The sequence below is a fragment of the Homo sapiens genome, chromosome 15 (genome assembly GCF_000001405.40).
Source record: "Homo sapiens chromosome 15, GRCh38.p14 Primary Assembly".
In the NCBI taxonomy this organism is placed as follows: Eukaryota; Metazoa; Chordata; class Mammalia; order Primates; family Hominidae; genus Homo; species Homo sapiens.
In genome coordinates this window covers 48,429,401-48,449,619 of record NC_000015.10, presented here as the reverse complement: position 1 = coordinate 48,449,619, position 20,219 = coordinate 48,429,401, and the positions used below count along the sequence as shown (strand labels likewise).

Genomic DNA, 20,219 nt, shown 5'->3' with positions numbered 1-20,219 from the left:
ATTAAATTCTGCCCCTCAGATAATCAGATTTCAGGAAAGCAACAAAGATTCAGTTGATGATAAATATAATTTAGAACTTAAAGACTGGCAGAAGCAAGATGAGAGGGCTTCCTTTTGAATGGATGAGAGTAAAAAGAAAGAGACAGTGTTCAGGTTGTCACATGCTAAAAGGAGCCCTGTGTAGACGTGAATACTTGGTGAAGATGGAACAAAAAGTTACAGGCATAAGACAAAACAAAGAGATGCAACTTGAACAAGCAGCCATGTAGGTTGTCCATCAAGAAAAACTTAATCTTAGTCATAGGATTTGACTTTGATATAAATTTACAAAGGAAGCCATGAACTATCCATGACTTAAGGCACCAAATCTTAACTAGACAAAATACTTCAATTAATTCCACAGTCTGTGGTGCTGCGTAGGCCGATAATCAAACAGAAAATCCTCCCGGCTTGAATCCCCCCATTTTACTTCTAAGTTTTCTCATCTTTCAGAATATTTTTTGATTACTTACCCTTATTTTTTATTGTGTCAAGTATTGTTAACATACTCTGACTATGCCTGGTAAATGAGAGTAAGTTTTAATCCATTTTGATGCAAAAATAAATATATCTGTTTCACTAACTTAGTTTAGAGCTAGGATTACTCCTGAGAATGATAGCTAGAAGTAAGTTATTCAATTATATTTTGTCTTCTAAGTTCTCACTTAAGATGCTTCTTATTTACAGATCGTAATGAATGTCAAGAAATCCCCAATATATGCAGTCATGGGCAGTGCATTGACACAGTTGGAAGCTTTTATTGCCTTTGCCACACTGGTTTTAAAACAAATGATGACCAAACCATGTGCTTGGGTAAGTATGCAATTATTATTATTTTTTTCATATGCTGTTGAAAGCTTCATTTGATTCTAAATATGGATAAAATTTAATACTAAGTCTTTTAGTAGTATTTTTGCTATATACAAAATAAAAACACAGACAGATATGCAGCAGTGATATCCTATTTAATCTTTGGCAATCTGAACATGATAAACCTCTTCCTTTGTTATTCATTTGGCTGTCAGTTTAGAAAAAATTGACTAAGGGGTAAATTGAAAAAGATATTAATACAAAAATATTAATGTTAATAGGCTATTATTCATATGTAATATTGATGTGGATTTTCTTTTGAGTTTTTGAGTGTGAGATGACCATTTTTTTGGAAGGGTTTATAGTGTGTACCAGATTCTCAAAGGCAAATTTATAAATCCTACAAAGGCAAAGAAAAGTTAATCATTTTTCTAGAGGAAAAAGAGCTCAGGATTTTAAATCTCTTTCCTGATTTCTCTATTATCAGGATGCTGATTTAGAATAAACTTCAGTGTGTAATGAATCATTTTCTTCTTTTCCTTCCTTTATTTTTCTACTTTAAAGCAATACCATTAAGTCTTTTTGGGACATTAAGAACATAAATCAGATTCACAGCTGAAAGAACAATTAATATAGTAATGTTTAAGTCCTTGACTTTGGCTATGACTGGGTTCATCCATTTGGGAACATTTCTCATAAAGTTGTATCTTCTCCAGAGTAATGACAAGAGCACTGACAGCCCTACTCATCACTGGGCAGCTAACCTGTGTAAAAGCTATGATGATCCTGCCCAACTTTCTTTCTACATCTCTCATCTGAATTTTCTGGAGCCCCCTAACATAGAACCTTCCCAACCAAAGAACTTCACCAGTTTGGCTAAAAATGAATCAAGGCAAAAATTCTTGATTACTAGCAATGACTCATCTGGGTGTAGTCTTCAACCACAGACACACATTAGAGTCCCTTTGGGTTAGCAATAGCTTCCTGATTCAGGAATCACAGATCATTTATCTTCATGTCCAAAATGTGAAAAGAAAGGGAATCCTAGCTCTAATCATTACATTTTGCTATTCTCCGTTGTTACCTTCCACTCTCTCTCTCTCTCATTTCATCCTTGTCCCTCTTCATGGTGCCTCATTCTTTCAAACCAGCAGTAACAACTTTCTTTCATTAAATTTTTTATTACTTCCTCCTTAATATAATGTGCATCTACTCTTTATAAGAAATATGCTAGCTGCTGTGATGAGATGCAAAGACATATAAGATGTCAGAGTAGCTTTACAAAATCATCAGAGAAAAGTACGGACCAATCAAAAGGCGAATAAGAATGCAAGCATGTATGAAAAGAACAAATTAAGTGCCATCTCTTTGGGGTAGTTTAGAAAAGTGAGAGAAGTCATCATTGGTGGAAGTTGTTCTATGTTTTTATGGGTGTAGGGAAAAAGGAAAAGTTGTCTGAAATGACAGGTGAGCTAGAAAGCTGAGTTATTTTGTTGCTGATTGTGGGGTAATGCCAGGTGAGTCACTGCTTTTTGGTAAACTGGAGTGAGAATCTTGAAGGTTGAAGTTTGCCAAAGGTGGCAACACCTCAAGACCCAGATGCACACAGAGTTTTTTCCATTTTCAAGTGAAAATATTTGAGAAAAGTGGCAAGGGTGGAGAATTCTAGAAGTAAATAGAATAAAATAATTCTTGTTCAGGTCTCATGTCCTTAGCTTGCCTCCTTTCACTGGCCAGCCAAGGAAACCATTTATTCCCAAGATTTAGAGCTTTGCCGCTGCCTGGTATCTTGCAGGGATGACTGCTGCTGGAGCTGATACCAACATCAAGAAGTTCTCAGCCTATGGATGAGGCCTGGTGAACCCTAAAATGCTCTTTAGCCACTGTAACCGTGTAACCACTTTTTCTACTTATAATTATGTTTCTTTATGGCCTTTCTTCCTACTAGACATAAATGAATGTGAAAGAGATGCCTGTGGGAATGGAACTTGCCGGAACACAATTGGTTCCTTCAACTGCCGCTGCAATCATGGTTTCATCCTTTCTCACAACAATGACTGTATAGGTGCGTGTGCAAAATTGTGCATCAGCAAAGGAAGTCAGTTTTATATGTGTTCTTTGTAATTAGCATCATCTCTAGTGTTCCAGCTGTCTTTTAAAAATGTATGCTATCTTATGCATAACAATTGGTTATGGGACTTGTCAAATACAATGTGCTCAACATGAAATATATTACAGAAGTCTCCCCTTATCCGTGAGGGATACATTCTGAGACCCCCAGCAGATGCCTGAAACCACAGATAGTACTGAACCCTCTATATACCATGTTTTTTCCTACACATACATACCTAAAGTTTAATTTATAAATTAGGCATGGTAATAGATTAACATCAATAACTAATAAGAAAATAGAACAATTATAACAGTATACTGTAATAAAAGTTATATGACTGTACTTTCTTGTGCACTGTCTCTCTCTCTCTCAAAATATTTTATTGTACTATACTCACCTATTTTTGGGTAGCAGCTGACCTTGGATAACTGAACCCCCAGAAAGCAAAACCATAGATAAGAGGGAACCACTGTAACTATATCCATTACTTTTATTAAAATGCTTATTAGCAGCTATAATTTTTATGTCTACTTTGCTGTAAATTAAATAAATTTCAAAATAAATGGAATTAGATTAAGCCAAAAAATTTTTAAATATACAAAAGTGATTCTTTGTATAGAAATTATATGATTCAGGACTATGAACCTTCTGGTCTAGATGTTTCATGTAGCCTCTCTTAAATAAATCATTGAATCTACAGAATCTCCTTCTAAAACATACTAGGCAAGAGTAATAAGCCAAATTCTTTAAATTTTATTGTGCTATAGGCTAATTTAAATCTAATTGCAAGAATACAAAGGAATGCCCTTAGCTGAATTGTGTATTAGGATTTTATTTTTTAAATCAAAAAATTTTTAAATCTAAAATTTAAAAATAAAATCTAAAGGAAAATCAAGGAAAAACTGATAGGAAATTTGAATGTAAATTGTCAGTCTCTAATATAATAATGTAATCTTATTGTTAAATGTGTATAGGTGCTTAAAGCCAGTTCTGTTGTTGCAAACTAGATCTTCATTGGCATTTCTTGTTTGGCTAAGCCAGCAAAGGCCACTAAAATTCAGAAAAAGTATTTTTTCTTTTAGAAGTTTTGATTATTGCTGGGATTATGACATCTTTGGAATATATTAAAGGATTGTTGGGGATTTTTCTGCAGATGTTGATGAATGTGCAAGTGGAAATGGGAATCTTTGCAGAAATGGCCAATGCATTAATACAGTGGGGTCTTTCCAGTGCCAGTGCAATGAAGGCTATGAGGTGGCTCCAGATGGGAGGACCTGTGTGGGTAAGTACAGGACTTAGAAAGACCTGGAAAGAATGCTTCCAGAGACCACTCAAGGAATCATGCAGTCTCTGTTCTAATGCTTCTTTCTGGAAACCTGGAGGAAAAGTCAGAGTAGAATTATATTAATCCTCCCTATAAAGGCTTGTTTTTATTTAAGTATATATACACATATATATATGTATATATATATACATATATATATGTGTGTATATATATATGTATATATATATGTGTGTGTGTATATATATATATGTGTATATATATATATAATCACTTTTTCCCTTATTTTAAAAATTAAGCTATTGTACTCACCAAGAATACTCAAACTATTAAACAGTGAAATTGCTAAATTGCTCTGTAAGCAATTGTGATTTCCCTTCTTAAATATTTTTCTTTAAAATACTTTTGTAGTAAGCTCTCATATCTTTTGAGTATCCTTAAAATCTATATACTCACTGACTTTTCACATGCTACAATTTTCTGGAAACATTTAATTTGATGCAGGTAAAATAAAATATGGTTGTTATGCTATACATTTTTGAAAGCTGATAAAGCTTATTTTTATTATTGCTTATTTTTCTCCATGGTGGAATTTTATGAACTTTAATTTGCTTTATGTATTTCTTTGATTCATTCTAGTTTTTTTGAATTTTAATTGTTTGATGGAAGTCATGCCAGTGGGAACCTCTTCCTTATTTTTCCCTTTTCTTTGCAGATATCAATGAATGTCTTCTAGAACCCAGAAAATGTGCACCAGGTACCTGTCAAAACTTGGATGGGTCCTACAGATGCATTTGCCCACCTGGATACAGTCTTCAAAATGAGAAGTGTGAAGGTAGGAAAGCTATCAGTTGTAGCAAATGAGGAGTGTCGGGTGTCCACTGGACTTAGCAGAATGAGAATTTTTGTAATGACGTCTTCATTTTGGAATACTTTATCAGAAACAAATGCAAGGGCATAGGTATGACATGGTCTCATCCTTCTGGCAAGACAAGAAGCACTAATTATCATGCTAATCTCTAATGAAGTTATTTTGTTCTGTGCATATGACTGATCATATGATCCTGACTCTTTTCCACTGTGCTTTCACACATTTGTTAGGAATGCTGTGTCCTACTCCCAGTATTTCCGAACTACATTTTTTAAGTGGCGATTCTTTGCAGCTAAAAATAGCTCCTGATTCCATTTAAAAACTTTAAATGACCACATTCAAGGTTGGATGAATGTGGTTATATCGTTTGTCTATTTTGTTTTTACCTATAGAGCAGTGGAAATGTCTTATTTCAAATAAATTCTCAGCAAATTTTACAGTATTACATTCCTTTTTGTTTGTTTGTTTTTAATGGAGACAGGGTCTTACTCTGTCACCAGGTTGAAGTACAGTGGCACGAGTATAGCTCACTGTAAGCTTGAACTCCTGGGCTCAAGTGATCATCCTGTCTCAGCCTCTGGAGTAGCTGGGACTACAGGCATGTGCCACCATGCCTGGCTGATTTTTTAATTCTTTGTAGAGATGGGGCCTCCCTATGTTGCCAGGCTGGCCTCAAACTCCTGGCCTCAAATGATCCTCCTTCCTCAGCCTCCCAAGGGCCTTCCTTTAACCTCAACAAATATGTCATATCATTAAGTGAAGGACATTAATTGCTAGAATTTCATAAATAAGTAGGGTTGAAAGGATTTTCAAGAAGTCACCTAGTTCACACCCCTGACTTTAAACAGGTCTGCATCTAATCCACAATGAGAATTTTCTCTACTTTTAATATCGTCAATTAGAAATTTTATTATATATCCAATTTAAGTAACAATCAAGTGGTGATATTTAAAATGGAAACACCTTATTGAAATTGTCTAGATGCAAATTTTTTAAGCATGTTATTTTACTTTTATTAAAAATTGGCTTTATTATCAATACATAAGTTCGCTAAATTGAACAGAATATATATAGAAAGAAAAATAACTGCACAGTCAATGAATGTGCCCATTCTACAATATTTGGCCCTATCCTAATAAGTTGGCATGTACAGGCTAATTTCTACCATAATATAAATAGTCATAGTAATAATTAAAAACAACTGAAAACATTTGAGCATTTTCACAAAAGTTAACTTTTATATTAAGAAAAGGTTGGATATAGGGGTGGAAGGAGTGTCAGAATGGAGTAATTCAATCGGCAATAGAAGATCAGATTCATTAATAAACCACAGGGAACATAACACAGGTATAAATGCAACCCAATAACATGGCATGATGGAGAAGCTGATTTTGCGTTGCACAGAAAGAGAATCACTTGGCATTGCACATTTCTAGAATATTTATTGTGTGGTATTTACAATATTAAGTCAAGATAATAAGGTTAATTTCTCAACTTTTCCTTAGTTGGGCCTCTTGAGAATAAAGTTGTATAATGCAAGTACATTTTGGTGTGAGTAGAAACCTTTGCACAAATATAAAAATAAAGAGCCCAGGATACAAGGATATTTTGTGTTTTGTTGAAAAAATAAAAAAGTATTCTCATAAAAGTAGCATGGCTCAGAATTAAGACTTACCACTTTGTTCACTAAAAATTCCTGCTGAAAGTCAGGAGGAAAGATAAGTGAGTTTGTTGGAATAGAGTGGGCATATTTTTCCATAGGTAATCGTATGTTTTATTGACCAACCCAAGCCAATTTTGAAAGTAGAAAAGGGCACTATTAACAATAAAGTCAGGCCAACTGGCATGAGCTGGGGCTCCCCCAGGCAAACTAGGACATATGGTTACTCAAGCCATTCAAACTTCTTATTGGCTACTCTTAACTACCACTGTACAGGAGCTAAGATGTATAATATACTAAAGAAAACATGCCACAATTCTAAGTGTACAGTTTCCTATTGTCTATATGATGAAAGAAAAAGCCTGTACAAGAAAGGTATTTTTGTGTCTTCAGAAAGATTAACCCACAAATCAGGAGCGTCATCTTCTATGATATCGTTAGTTTGCACTTCATAGGATTATACTTATTTTCATGAGTCTTAGTGTTCTTGTAAAATTCACAGTTTTAGGGCTATAGCATAGGGTATTGGGAAAAGTTCTGTGGGTGGTTGGAGGGGAGTAAATTTGGATCAAAGGCCTAGATCTCACATTGAGTGAGTCACTAGCAATGTGCTTAAAGTCTCAGCATTTCTGCTTCCTGAACAATGGTGCAGTGTGACTCTAGAATTTCATGCTTCTTTCCTGGCCTAGGGTACTATGAAATTACTCTGACTTTTCTAGTTAGCCAAGCAACTCAGTCTGGGTAAGAGACGTTTGTCACTGCACCCCTTAGAAGGCAGTTGCACATTCCATTTTTATATCAATAACTGTCAAAACTAATTCTTTTGAAGTCATGACAACCTAGAAGTCCAGTCCACAGTGTTATGGTACAGAAAAATACCTTTATTATTGTAAGAGTTTGGAAACTCAGTTGCCCTTTGTGTGTCCACATTGTGTGTTTGGTACCTGATGATGTCTCCATCGTGTTTTGACTTTGTTTGACTCATGTGATTCTTTTAGATATTGATGAGTGTGTCGAAGAGCCAGAAATTTGTGCCCTGGGCACATGCAGTAACACTGAAGGCAGCTTCAAATGTCTGTGTCCAGAAGGGTTTTCCTTGTCCTCCAGTGGAAGAAGGTGCCAAGGTAAGTGTCTTTGAAGGCTTTGGGCTTTCAATGCTGCATGTTTATTTGTGGTGGTCTTATTTTTCAAACATGGCAAAGCTCTGTTTCTTTGTGAACAGGAAGATGGAGAGTTTTCATTCACCCAGAGGTCTAATGATAACCATATGTCAGAAGGTTCATTTTCACTTTTAAGGTTAAAAACTCATCCATCAAGTTATGGTTGCTTATACAATTGTACTGACACATAAACCTCTCTCCCACTAAGAACACAAATGCTGATAGGCCCATCAGTGGGGAAACACCTTGAGCCACCGAAACAGCAAAGCCTGGGGGAAGTTGAGCTACATATCCCCTACCTCTGAAGAGATAAGCTGAAAAATGTGGGTCCAAAGTTAGACTTGAGACTGAAAAACTGCACATTAACCCATTTGCCCCCACAATATGGTAACCATCCCTTATATCACAAATTCTCCAAGAAAACAAAAATAAATTTAAACTGATCAGGATTCTTGCTGGGCCATTGTTCATTTTTAGGAATAATACTTGTCAACTATTTGAGTAAAGATTTTCAAGGGTTTGCCAATGACTTTCAAATTTTAAACAAAAATCAAAAGGATCCTGAACTTTGGCATAACACAGTATGTACTTAAGTCCCAGAAAACTGTTTAGACTTTTCTAAACAATACAGTTGTGTATGGATATCTACATACACAAACTAGTTTCATGAATTCCGGGGAAGGGAGATGAAACAAACACATGTATTTCTTTTTTTTCCACTTGTAGCTTTTGTTGTTTGGTTGTTACTGTTGTTTTGATGTTGAGTTGGGTTTTTTTTTTTTTTCATGGTTTTTTGGTTTTGCTTCCGTATTACCAAATATGGAAGAGGCACTGGATATCATTTAAGGTTCAAAAAATTGAGTTTGGGGTCCCAGCCCTGCCATATTTAGTCTAGAGCAAGTCATTTAATCTTTTGGAAGCTCAATTTCCTCATTTTAAACAACAATAATATCTGCCCAACCAGCCTTACTGTGACAAAGCTTTGTTAGTTTCTGAGTCCTTTGTAGACTCTTGTTGTTATTCTAATGATCTGATTAACTTTTTACTTTTCAACTAGTTATTTGGGAAGTAAGAAGGAGAGGGTTGAGAGTTCTCCGGTTGATTTCAGCTTGTTGGTAGTTGTCAGTGGTCTGTGTGGATTTCAGGGTGGTGCTTAATTCGAACAGATATTCTGCATGGTACAGACCAGTCAGATAAATTCTAACTCCTACTCCCTTGTTTTTGTGTGCCTTTGGCTTGGCCTGAATTTGGAAAGAAAGCAGTGAGAAACCAGGTGTGAATCTGCCGATGTGGCAGGCCAGAGGAAACTCCTAGGCTATTAATTCAATTTGCACTGGCCCATCACAGAGCAAGCTAACGCTGCAGGAAGAATCAGCCCAGCTGTGAGCAGCCCTGCCACATGCTCAGCTCCAGGAGGCAGAGCCAGAACTGAGGAATGCAAGCAGGGAAAGTGACTTTTGTAGTTCTGATGAAATTTCGAGGTCATTAAGGGCTCTTTGCAGATGGACTGGTAAACAGGCATCCCAGTGAGTCCTGAAGTATGTGGGCAAGCACAGCTCTCTTCCCCAATGCAAGACACCCTTGATTAATAAGCCAATTCTAGAGAATCACCACAAGCTAAAGTAAGTCTCCTACAGAGCACAGATTTTGCTGGAGCCAGGAAATTGAGAGCTGGGTTTTTCTTGTAAGATGACAAATTAGGAGTCAGACTTCTATTGCTCATGAAATGAGAAAATTCCACAGAACCGTGGATAATGTTTTTTAAAAAGCGAATGCCATGGGACTCAGGTGGACAGAGCCTGGCACAAAAGACCACAGGTGTAAATGAGCCACTCCCACTTGCAAAGTTCAACGAAGAGAATTTGCCACTTAGACTGACTCAAGACTTCGTGCATTTGAGTCTCTGTCTAATGCCAAGATTTTTTTTTTTCGGGGTGGAGTGGTGTGGGGGAGATAGAGCTGGGGTCTGGGACGAAGTCAGCTATTAAAGGAAAAGAGAATGAGAATTTTAATACACCAATATTACAACATACATATTTAAAGAAACACTACAAACTGGAAGACAAAGCAGAGTTAAGTTTTCATATATTTGTTGAGACATTTTTGTGAGTAGTCACTGAATTATATCTAAAGGTAGTTGGAGGCATAAATAACAAAAACAAGACTGATAAATACAAAACATTATATGTGACAAAGAACTTGAAGAATAAAAGAGATCAAAAGTGTTCTCCAAGAAACAAGAATTTGTTCAGTCTTGAAGTTTCTCAGCAAAGCAAACATTTGGGTGGCAGAGATGCCGCAGGATTGACTTTTATTGCTCTTGACCTTCAGAAGGATAATTCATTGAAAGGTGCTTGCCAGGTCCTTGCCACAACAGATGGGGAAGTGGAATAGAAATTAGAGAGATGATTTATCTGGATGAGTTGGTAGCCATGAAAGGTTGAGCAGGTTTACTGGGGAGGCTACCTGAATTTGATTTACATAACTTGGTAAATATAATAGATAGATAGATAGAAACTTTAATTCATGAAAACCTTTCCTTTGTTATCTCTGGCAACTCTGTTATTCCTACATTGTCTTCTTTGTCATGAAATAAAAGCTGGTGAGACTGTCTTAACAGAAGTGCTTAGGTGGTTATGATAGTATGGTTCCTGGGATTGAAAAACAGTGATGGAAGTGAATGAAAAAGGCAGAGGTGGTCAGATATAAAGAAAGAAGAATAGTACAATATGGGTATGAAAGCATTTCTTTTAAACCTGCAGATTGTGGCCTCTGTGTAATGAGAGGAGTTTTGGAAGGCTTTAAGAAGTCAAGTTCGAGGGAAAACACAGTCCATACCTCTGGTTGAGCTCACTTTTTGGAGTCAATGTGTTGTATGAGAAATGGAAAAGCCCGTTTCCAAAATTATGTCAAGCAATGTTGGAGAATTTTATAGGAAGTAGATCCCATCTTCTTTGTTGGAGTCATCAAAGCAATAATCAATATTGAAATATATTCTTTCAAAGAAAGACTATTCTGTTCCCACCCACCCACAGCCCTGCCCTCCTCTTCCTTCCCTCTCTGTGTTGAGCTAAACAAGCTTCTTTTAAAAATTTAACATTGACACAGCTCTGCATATGTGTGTGTGTGTAAAATCTACAAAAAGCCCCACTTGCATTTTGTAGCCAGCATCTCCGGGAGTATCTGCTTCAGTGACCAACCCTTGTGTTGTATTTTTGCCCATCTACAAAGTTGCCACTTCTGTATTTGTTCTGTGCCTGTGATCTGGGATTTTATTTTAGTTCCAGAGTTTAGGGGACACAGAATAAACCACAAAGTGTGATATCACAGTAAATATTAGAACTAAGAGGATTCTCTTACTCTAGTGTGCTCATTAAACATGATATTGCAAGCAGAGCTATCAATGAAGGAATCTTGTGAATGATTCCTTCTGTGGACTTTCCAATCCTGAAGTCACTGACAGATGTCAGTTTTGAAAACTGTCAGTTTTGGATTTTATTGGATTCACATCGGGTTACTTTGAAATAGTGACTAAAATGAGAAGTAATAAATTTAAGTTCATAGAGTTGTTCATCAGATCTCACTATACAAAAGATACCCATGACTTTAACAATCTCAGCTCAGTTACCATTAGAATCACGTAAGGAGTATTGCTGTGGTCCTGAGAGGAGAACATATATAACATAGTGGGTTGTTCTTTATTTGCTATGGTGCAATACGGACTCAGTAGGAAAGCAACTGAAGGGTGTCATAAATTTATGCTGCAGATTTGCGAATGAGCTACTGTTATGCGAAGTTTGAAGGAGGAAAGTGTTCATCACCCAAATCCAGAAATCACTCCAAGCAGGAATGCTGCTGTGCCTTGAAGGGAGAAGGCTGGGGAGACCCCTGCGAGCTCTGCCCCACGGAACCTGATGGTATGTCTGTCATCTGCATTTCTCTCTGGGCCATGCAGGGTGCAGACTGGCCATGATGTAAGTAAGACTGTAGGCCTTAAAGACAGTAACACAATTTAATTTAATTGTAAGTCTAATTAGAATGTTCATTAAAAATTATTTTATCTCAGGAGCTTGGTAGTTATTTTCTTTTTAATTATGTCATGAATCACAGATGCCCAAGGAGTAGACACAACATCTTAGGGAGTCTCGTTAAATAACTTCCTCTGGTTTCTGGGCTTGTTTTTTCCATCATTTATCAATATGCACAGCATGTAGCAATTTTCTACCTCAAAATACTTGTGGAGAAGCTTGTAATGAATTGCTATTGTTCTATCTATTAATGAGTGTCTCCACCACAGAGGCCTTCCGCCAGATATGTCCTTATGGAAGTGGGATCATCGTGGGACCTGATGATTCAGCAGTTGGTCAGTTGCCTGTGCTGGATTCTCAGCATTTCTCAGTATTCTCAATCTGCTTCTTCTCTAGTTATTCTTATTTTTCTCCATCTATCTTGGAAAATTAAGTGCTACTTTTTTGTCCCTTCATTTAGATAGCAATTATATTATTGCATTATTAGATAATCTTTTGATTAAACACTGAAATGATCATAATTTATCTTCACGTTTAAAAAATACCTTGTTATTCACTATTTTTTTTCTCTTGCTTAAGATATGGACGAATGCAAAGAACCCGATGTCTGTAAACATGGACAGTGCATCAATACAGATGGTTCCTATCGCTGCGAGTGTCCCTTTGGTTATATTCTAGCAGGGAATGAATGTGTAGGTGAGTAATAAGTTTTCTTCCATAGGAACTTTACAAATTAAAAATTAAGCTATACAGTATTCACTGTATAGCCATGAATATAGGTACCAAGATGGCACTGAAATAAGTTTTATCCATCCACTCATACATCATTCATTTAGAATACTAGTGAGTCACCATCAGGTCCCAGGCACTGTGCTAGGCTCTGGAGCTGCAGCACTGAACCACAAAGACAAGTTCCTTCCTTTCATGGACCTTACAGCCTAATGGTGAAGGCAGACACTGGACATATCAGAAGAGATACTAGAAAGGACAACATCATAATGAAAGTCTTTGTGAAATTTTTTAAAAATTGTTAATGGTCATAATCTTATTCCCTTATCAAATAAAAATTTTATCTGGATTCTTTTACATTTAGTAAGATGAAAGGCTATATAACCAGTACACAATCTTTTTTTTGTAACCCTGTTTTTAAAATGTCAAATAATGGCTCCTCTGGCTGGCCTTTGACCCTTAATCAACACTAACTCTAACTTAAATCCAAGGATCATATTTAGTTATCTAAGAATTCCAGAGTGATTCAATATAACATAATTAATACTAGCATAAATGCTGAGAGTTTGTCTGTGTGAATTAGAAAGTACTTTTTCCATACAAGAAATCAGGTTATGAAGATTTCAGCTCCAGCTATGGCTGTGGGAGTTTAAGCAGTTTTTTTAGCTTTTCTAGGCCTTAGAATATAATATTATGCAAGTAAAATAACATTTCTAATTACCTTTGCAGCTCTAAAGATCAATGGTATCGGGATTTTTATTAACTTGAAACAGAAATAATATTCTTGACAGTAATTGAATATTATAGTAGAACAAAAGCAAATATTTCAATGTTTTCTCCTCAGAATCTTCAGTTAGTGCTAATATGTGCATATGAAATGAGCCTCTTCGCCTAGGAGCTCCCCACCATAGCCTCTTGCCTTTACTTTTGACTTAAGAACCTCAGCACAAGAAACAACTGTTGACAAGAGCCATTACTCTTCTGTGCCTTAGATAGCTAAAATATCAATGTTATTTCTCAAAATTATTTCTTTCCTAAGGGGAGATATTCTCCCCAAGGGATGTGTCAGAATAAGAATGGTGAGTATTCTAGGTGGATGGGTTAGAAGGCATATATACACACACACACACACACACACACACACACACACACACATATACACATATATATACACACATATATATACACACATATATATACACATATATATACACACATATATATACACACACACATGCACACACACACACACACACACACATTTTAGGTCTCTGGTCAAAGATTTGTTCTCTCCGCCTGTGTTTTAGAGCGGTCATAACCTAAACATATTTTTTTCTAGCCTTTCCTCTTCCTAATGTAAACCATCTGGTTTCAACAGAATCAACACAATCTACTTGAATCTTGATTTTATTTGATGTATTAATTTTACTTAACCTCTGGTCTTTTATTTTACGTAAGTTTAGTCTTTTATTTTATATCTGGCAAAAATCCATCATGTTTAAGGCTTCTTGGGGAGTGATGTAATGTAAGGCCAAACTGTGGATGTATTTCTGCTTTAAACAAGCAGAAACTTTTGACGAGTGATAGGGGCCTTTTTTTTTTTAACCCTTAGAGCATCTACTCCAAGTAGAAGATTTAGTTTATAATGTGGGAGGCTGGAGAAACTCATGGAGAAGAGCACTGTAAGGGCTATATGTCCAGGCACTGTCATTCTCACTGTCATTGCCACTGCCACTGAGCAAGTCGAATTTCACGGCTATAAACCTGAGATAATAAGACATGCACACTCCCTTTTTGCAAGAACAGAATGAGAATTAAACATTACAGATCAGGCTGGGCTTGGTGGCTCACACCTTTAATCTCAGCACTTTGGGATGCCGAGGTGGGCAGATTGCTTGAGGTCAAGAGTTCAAGACCAGCCTGGCCAACATGGCGAAACCCTGTCTCTACTAAAAATACAAAAATTACCTGAGCGTGGTGATGTGCACCCATAATTCCAGCTACTCAGGAGGCTGAGGCATGAGATTCACTTGAACCTGAGAGGCAGAGTTTGCATGAGCTGAAATCGCGCCACAGCACTGCAGTCTGGATGTCAAAGTGAGACTCTGTCTCAAAACAACAACAACAACAAAATTACAGTTTAAAATCCTCTGATAGAATAAAAGGTATTATCTCAATTCATCATGTTTTGGACACATTCCTGGTTTCTTGCAGATACTGATGAATGTTCTGTTGGCAATCCTTGTGGAAATGGAACCTGCAAGAATGTGATTGGAGGTTTTGAATGCACCTGCGAGGAGGGATTTGAGCCCGGTCCAATGATGACATGTGAAGGTACATCTCTTAAACAGAGAACAGTTGATTACGTGTACTGATCCTGGGAACAATTGGTTGATTACAAGTCTTAATATTAAATACAACTCAGGGTGTATATAATAAAGATCATCTAGGCCTGATGGGCCATTTGATCATTCTTCTTTTGTGGCCTCTTCTCTGTAGGGAAAGAGAGATATCCAAGAATGATACAGTTGTGTGTTCATGGCACATCTACACTGTATATCACAGAGAGTTCTCATTGGTGTTTCCCTACCACTTATATTTAGATGCTTCCGTGTTGTTTAATACCTTCTTTCTTACTCTCACTTTCTCCTTCTTTCTGTCTCTCATACTCCCTTTCTTTTTCTTTTCTCTTTTTCTCTTCTTTTCTATTTCTAGGAGCACTGCACACTAAGATACCCACCATCATCCTGTAGCCATTTGGAGGCAATCACAGCAAAAGCGGTTGCCTGTAATATATAAGCATCTGAAAAGTGTCCATCCGTAAGCCTGGTGGAATGTATGGAAAGAAGGAAAGGGAGGGAGTGTCTAGAGCAGTGGCTCTCAAAGGGTGGTTCCCAGGAGCAGCTGTATCAGCATCACCTGGGAACTTATTAGAAATGCACATTGTGAGGCCTCATCCAAGACCTCCTAAATCAGAAACTCCGAGAGTGGGGTGGAGCCCAGCAGCCCTCTAGGTGATCTGATACACTCTCAAGTAGGGATTCACTGGCCTAAGGAAAGAATGAAGGAGAGGTGAAGGCAGAGAATAAAGTTGGTAGCAAAGAGAGCTCTTCATCAGATATGATCTATCAAATGCCCATTGTCAGAGTTGTGGTAAATCTTTAAAGGTTGTGACTAAGTCATGATCTGGGCTCTCACTCGTGTTCTTAGTCAGCACTGGCCTTGGGGAGCAACATGATAGTTGAGATGGTCTATTTTAATCCTGCTTTTCCAAAACACATTCTGATGGTTCCAAACTCTGCAGTCTGCAGAAATGACTTTTTTTCCATTAACAGTAAACTCATTCCCATCTATTTAAGGTTTGAACATGGGCATCTGTGTAAACTGAGTGTCTCTGTCAGTATAAAATGATCTGGAACACTATTTGCTTGGGCAGAAGAATTGCTGTTATTTCACAGGAGCCTCTTTGTTTGGGGGAAAGAGAGGTGGTTAACAATATTGGAGGAGTTGGTTTCTGTTCTGACCACAATTGTTTTGGCGGAATGGGGCAAAACTGATTCCCACGCCATGTAACTGTTGGGAGTGACAAATGGTCAACCTGAGCCTTCTAAGCCAAAATTTCAGAAGAGCCCCTCAAATGTTGGGTGGCCTGTAATTTCCCATCCACCTAAATAATCATTAATAATTATACCAGGACAACAAACATAAACTGGGACTGTGCTGGGAGAACCGGGATGGAGAGTCACTCTGTTTATACCAAATATAAAATAATCAACCCATTTTATAATTTCCGGGAAATGGGAGACCACTTGATCCATCCATGTTTATGACAATGAAGCATTGCAACTTTTGGTAAAGTTTTAGAGTTTTAGTTCAATTGGTAGGTTCCCTTTTGTTGCTGTCCATGATCCCTTATTTACTTACTCTCCTCTGCTGCAGATATAAATGAATGTGCCCAGAATCCTCTGCTCTGTGCCTTCCGATGTGTGAACACTTATGGGTCATATGAATGCAAATGTCCCGTGGGATATGTGCTCAGAGAAGACCGTAGGATGTGCAAAGGTGAGTCATCGTGTTCAAGGTCATCTAAGCCAGGAAGCTTTATCTGTGAGGGGAGATGTCCCTCAAAGCTTCCCTTAGTAGGAGAAGGCTGGGAATTGGAATATAAATAGTCCGTGGACAATACGGGGGTTGTCACTGCCACGTTTCCCCCTAAATTGTAGCTGGAAGCATCATCAAGCCAAGTTGAGGACTGCACTGCACATCCTTTATTAGGTCTCACTGTGCATCGCATGCTCACAACACGCCAGTATTTCTACAAGATATGGGAATAGAAAGAAAAAGACATTTCCCCACGTTCAAAAAACCCAATATGAAGAGATTGAGACAGATATAAATACGTTCTCATAATACAGTGTGATAAATGCTATGGTGATTATATATACAAAATGCTCTGAGAACACCAAAGGATATTCTATTTCAAGAATGGGGTAACACGTGGAATCTACTTTAGCTAAACCATCTCCATTAAAAATACCTCCTGAACACCTGCAATTTCCTAAGCACTGAACTAGGCTCTATTTCACAAACTGCAGTAATCATAGAGTTTGCTCTTGAAGAGCTCTGATTTGCTCCTGTCAATATCTTAAATGAACAGACACCTGTTCTCTCAAGATGGCGTAAATATAATTTTGCTTAAGGGTGGGGAAATTTCCTAAATGAAAGGTCCTAATCATATGCAGAATAAATTTCAAATTTCTCAGCTCAGAGCATGTAAACGGGAAAGATAGAAAAATAAAGAAGTACAATAGGACAGAAAGTAAAGACTGAGGAAGGCCCAACCAAGTCCAGAAAAGGAAATGAAGGAGGGAAGAACCAGTAGAGAATAAGATATTTGAGATATATAATATAAAATAGTCATTTACTATTATATCCTGTTTACTAATATTATCATATAAAAATAATGTCATATTGGCCAGGCACGGTGGCTTATGCCTGTAATCCCAGCACTTTGGGAGGCCGAGGTGGGTGGATAACCAGAGGTCAGGAGTTTGAGACCAGCCTGACCAACATAGTGAAACCCTGTCTCTACTAAAAATACAAAAAATTAGCTGGCGTGATGGCGCATTCTTGTAATCTCACCTACTTGGGAGGCTGAGGCAGAAGAATTGCTTGAACCCCGGAGGTGGAGGTTGCAGTGAGCTGAGATCATGCCACTGCACTCCAGACTGGATGACGGAGTGAGACTCCATCTCAAAAAAATAATAATATCATATTATAATATATTGTGTTATTATTATAATTATTGCATAATGTAAGCTTTGGTTTGTTACTCTTACAATCCATTATGATTGTAGTACTATTATAATTATTGCCTTATCATATATTGTGATTATAATGCTGTTATAATTATTGTTATATTAAGATATATCCATTATATTATAATTACATGAGGCCCTTTTAGTTCAATTAGTCAACAAGAATTAGAAATCATGCTTCAACAAAGGAGTATAAAACATAAAGGGACAGCCAGGCACGATGGCTCATGCCTGTAATCCCAGCACTTTGGGAGGCTGAGGTGGGTGGATCACTTGAGGCCAGGAGTTTGAGACCAGACTGGACAACATGGTGAAACCCCATCTCTACTAAAAATACAAAAAAAATTAGCCAGGCGTGGTGGTGCATGCCTGTAATCCCAGATACTTGGGAGACTGAGGTATGAGAATCACTTGAACCCGGGAGGCAGAGGTTGAAGTGAGCTGAGATCGGGCCACTGCACTCCAGCCTGGGCAACAGAGAGAGACTCTTTCAAAAACATAAATAAATAAAAATAAAAATAAATAAAAAATAAGGGAAGGAGAAGAGAGAAAAGGCATGATCAGAATCATGCTTCTTGAAGAGGTCATCAGTTGATTAGGGAGCAATTTCTTCAAGTTCAAAGGTGGTTAGAAGATTCCTTTCCATTCTTTAGAGATCATACTCAACAGAGCAGAAGGAAATACAGCCAGTAGTGAAATAACAGATGAAAATTGGTTACTTACTAACATTTTATGTTTAAAAGTCAGGTAATTAAGGCAGATATATGCATTTTCTTTGACAAATTTGTGATTGTACATTTTTTACAGATGAGGATGAGTGTGAAGAGGGAAAACATGACTGTACTGAAAAACAAATGGAATGCAAGAACCTCATTGGCACATATATGTGCATCTGTGGACCCGGGTATCAGCGGAGACCTGATGGAGAAGGCTGTGTAGGTAAGAGGATCCCTGTGGAAGGAGCTTTGAGTGCATCAGAAGTGACAGTGGACAGAAGGAACCTGGGCTCTGAGTTCTTGGGATACTGTTCTTGGCGAGACCCATTTTGTTCTCTTAACCGCATGTCAGGACTCTCCATGGTGGTTCCCTTGCCTCGTGATCATTTGTGAATTCCAAGAGCACTGTCATTGTCCCTCTGATCTGGCCTTTGTCTGCTTTCTTGACCCATTTGCTGCCAGGATTTGAACAGCATGCCTTTTCTCTATTCTCCTCCTTTACTTTCCATACTCTTTTGTTGATTTGGGGGTCAATTCTCCCCATCACATTGGAATGCTTCCCTATTGACTTAGCTTTGCTACAAATGCCAGGTACCTCTGAATCAGGAATATCTCAAAACCATTGGGATCTACCTCCAGAAAATCTGGTCTTGTCTAGAGTAGCATCCAGGCACTGATATTTTTTTAAAGCTCCTCAGCTGATTCTAATAGGGATCCAACATTGAGGACTTCAGCCTTAGACCAGGAGTTGGCAAACTGCCTACAGGCTAATTCCAGCCTGCCAGCCCACTGTGTGTTTTTATAAATAAGGTTTTATTAAACATAGGTATAACCATTCATTTGCATATTGTCCATGGCTACTTTCATGCCACAATGGCAGAGCTAAGTGGTTGCAACTGAGACCATATGACCCACAAAGCCTAAAATATTTCCTATTTGACCCTAACAAAAAGTTTCCTGACCTCTGCTTAGATAATAATTACAGGAGAAAATTATTAAAACCTTCTCACACGCATTCTCTTTCTTTTTAATAATAAATGGTATTATAAAGATATATTTTATGTTGTCATTCAAGAAGATTAAGAATCCCATTGCCCTTTTACTCTGTACAATACAGATTGAAGCAGGAATTAAAGAACAGATTCTAAAAGCACAGAATCAGAAAATATGTAGATTAATTGTCACACACTGGATCCTCCTGGATCAGTAATTCTCAACCTCTGCTGCACTTTGGAATCATTTGGGGAGCTCAAGTCCAACCTCAGATATTCTGATTGAATTGTTCTGGGGGTGGCTGGGGCATTGCATTGGGGTTTTGAACCTGTTTTAACACTGTTCTGGATTCACCTTCCAACTTTCTCTCTTTCCTAGTGAGAGCTCCATCTGAGGGACCCTGAACTATTCTCAAAGGAAGGGAAGCACCTCAGCAAATTATTTTTGATCTTTCTAAATAATCATCAGATAATTCTAAGAATCTGTAGATATTTTAATGT

The 20,219-nt window shown here is 37.5% G+C and overlaps 1 protein-coding gene across 2 annotated transcripts in view; it reads left to right on the top strand.

Annotated features, from left to right (window-relative positions):
* The window catches only part of FBN1 (fibrillin 1), a 237,397-nt gene that overhangs the window by 196,090 nt on the left and 21,088 nt on the right, over window positions 1-20,219 (top strand). For both annotated transcript variants that reach the window (NM_000138.5, NM_001406716.1), the window contains 11 exons: window positions 727-852; window positions 2,798-2,914; window positions 4,116-4,244; window positions 4,960-5,079; window positions 7,774-7,899; window positions 11,703-11,852; window positions 12,233-12,298; window positions 12,543-12,659; window positions 14,907-15,026; window positions 16,632-16,754; window positions 18,818-18,949. In NM_000138.5, the coding sequence (NP_000129.3) occupies window positions 727-852; window positions 2,798-2,914; window positions 4,116-4,244; window positions 4,960-5,079; window positions 7,774-7,899; window positions 11,703-11,852; window positions 12,233-12,298; window positions 12,543-12,659; window positions 14,907-15,026; window positions 16,632-16,754; window positions 18,818-18,949 (1,326 nt within the window). The remainder of the gene's footprint in view (window positions 1-726; window positions 853-2,797; window positions 2,915-4,115; window positions 4,245-4,959; window positions 5,080-7,773; window positions 7,900-11,702; window positions 11,853-12,232; window positions 12,299-12,542; window positions 12,660-14,906; window positions 15,027-16,631; window positions 16,755-18,817; window positions 18,950-20,219) is intronic.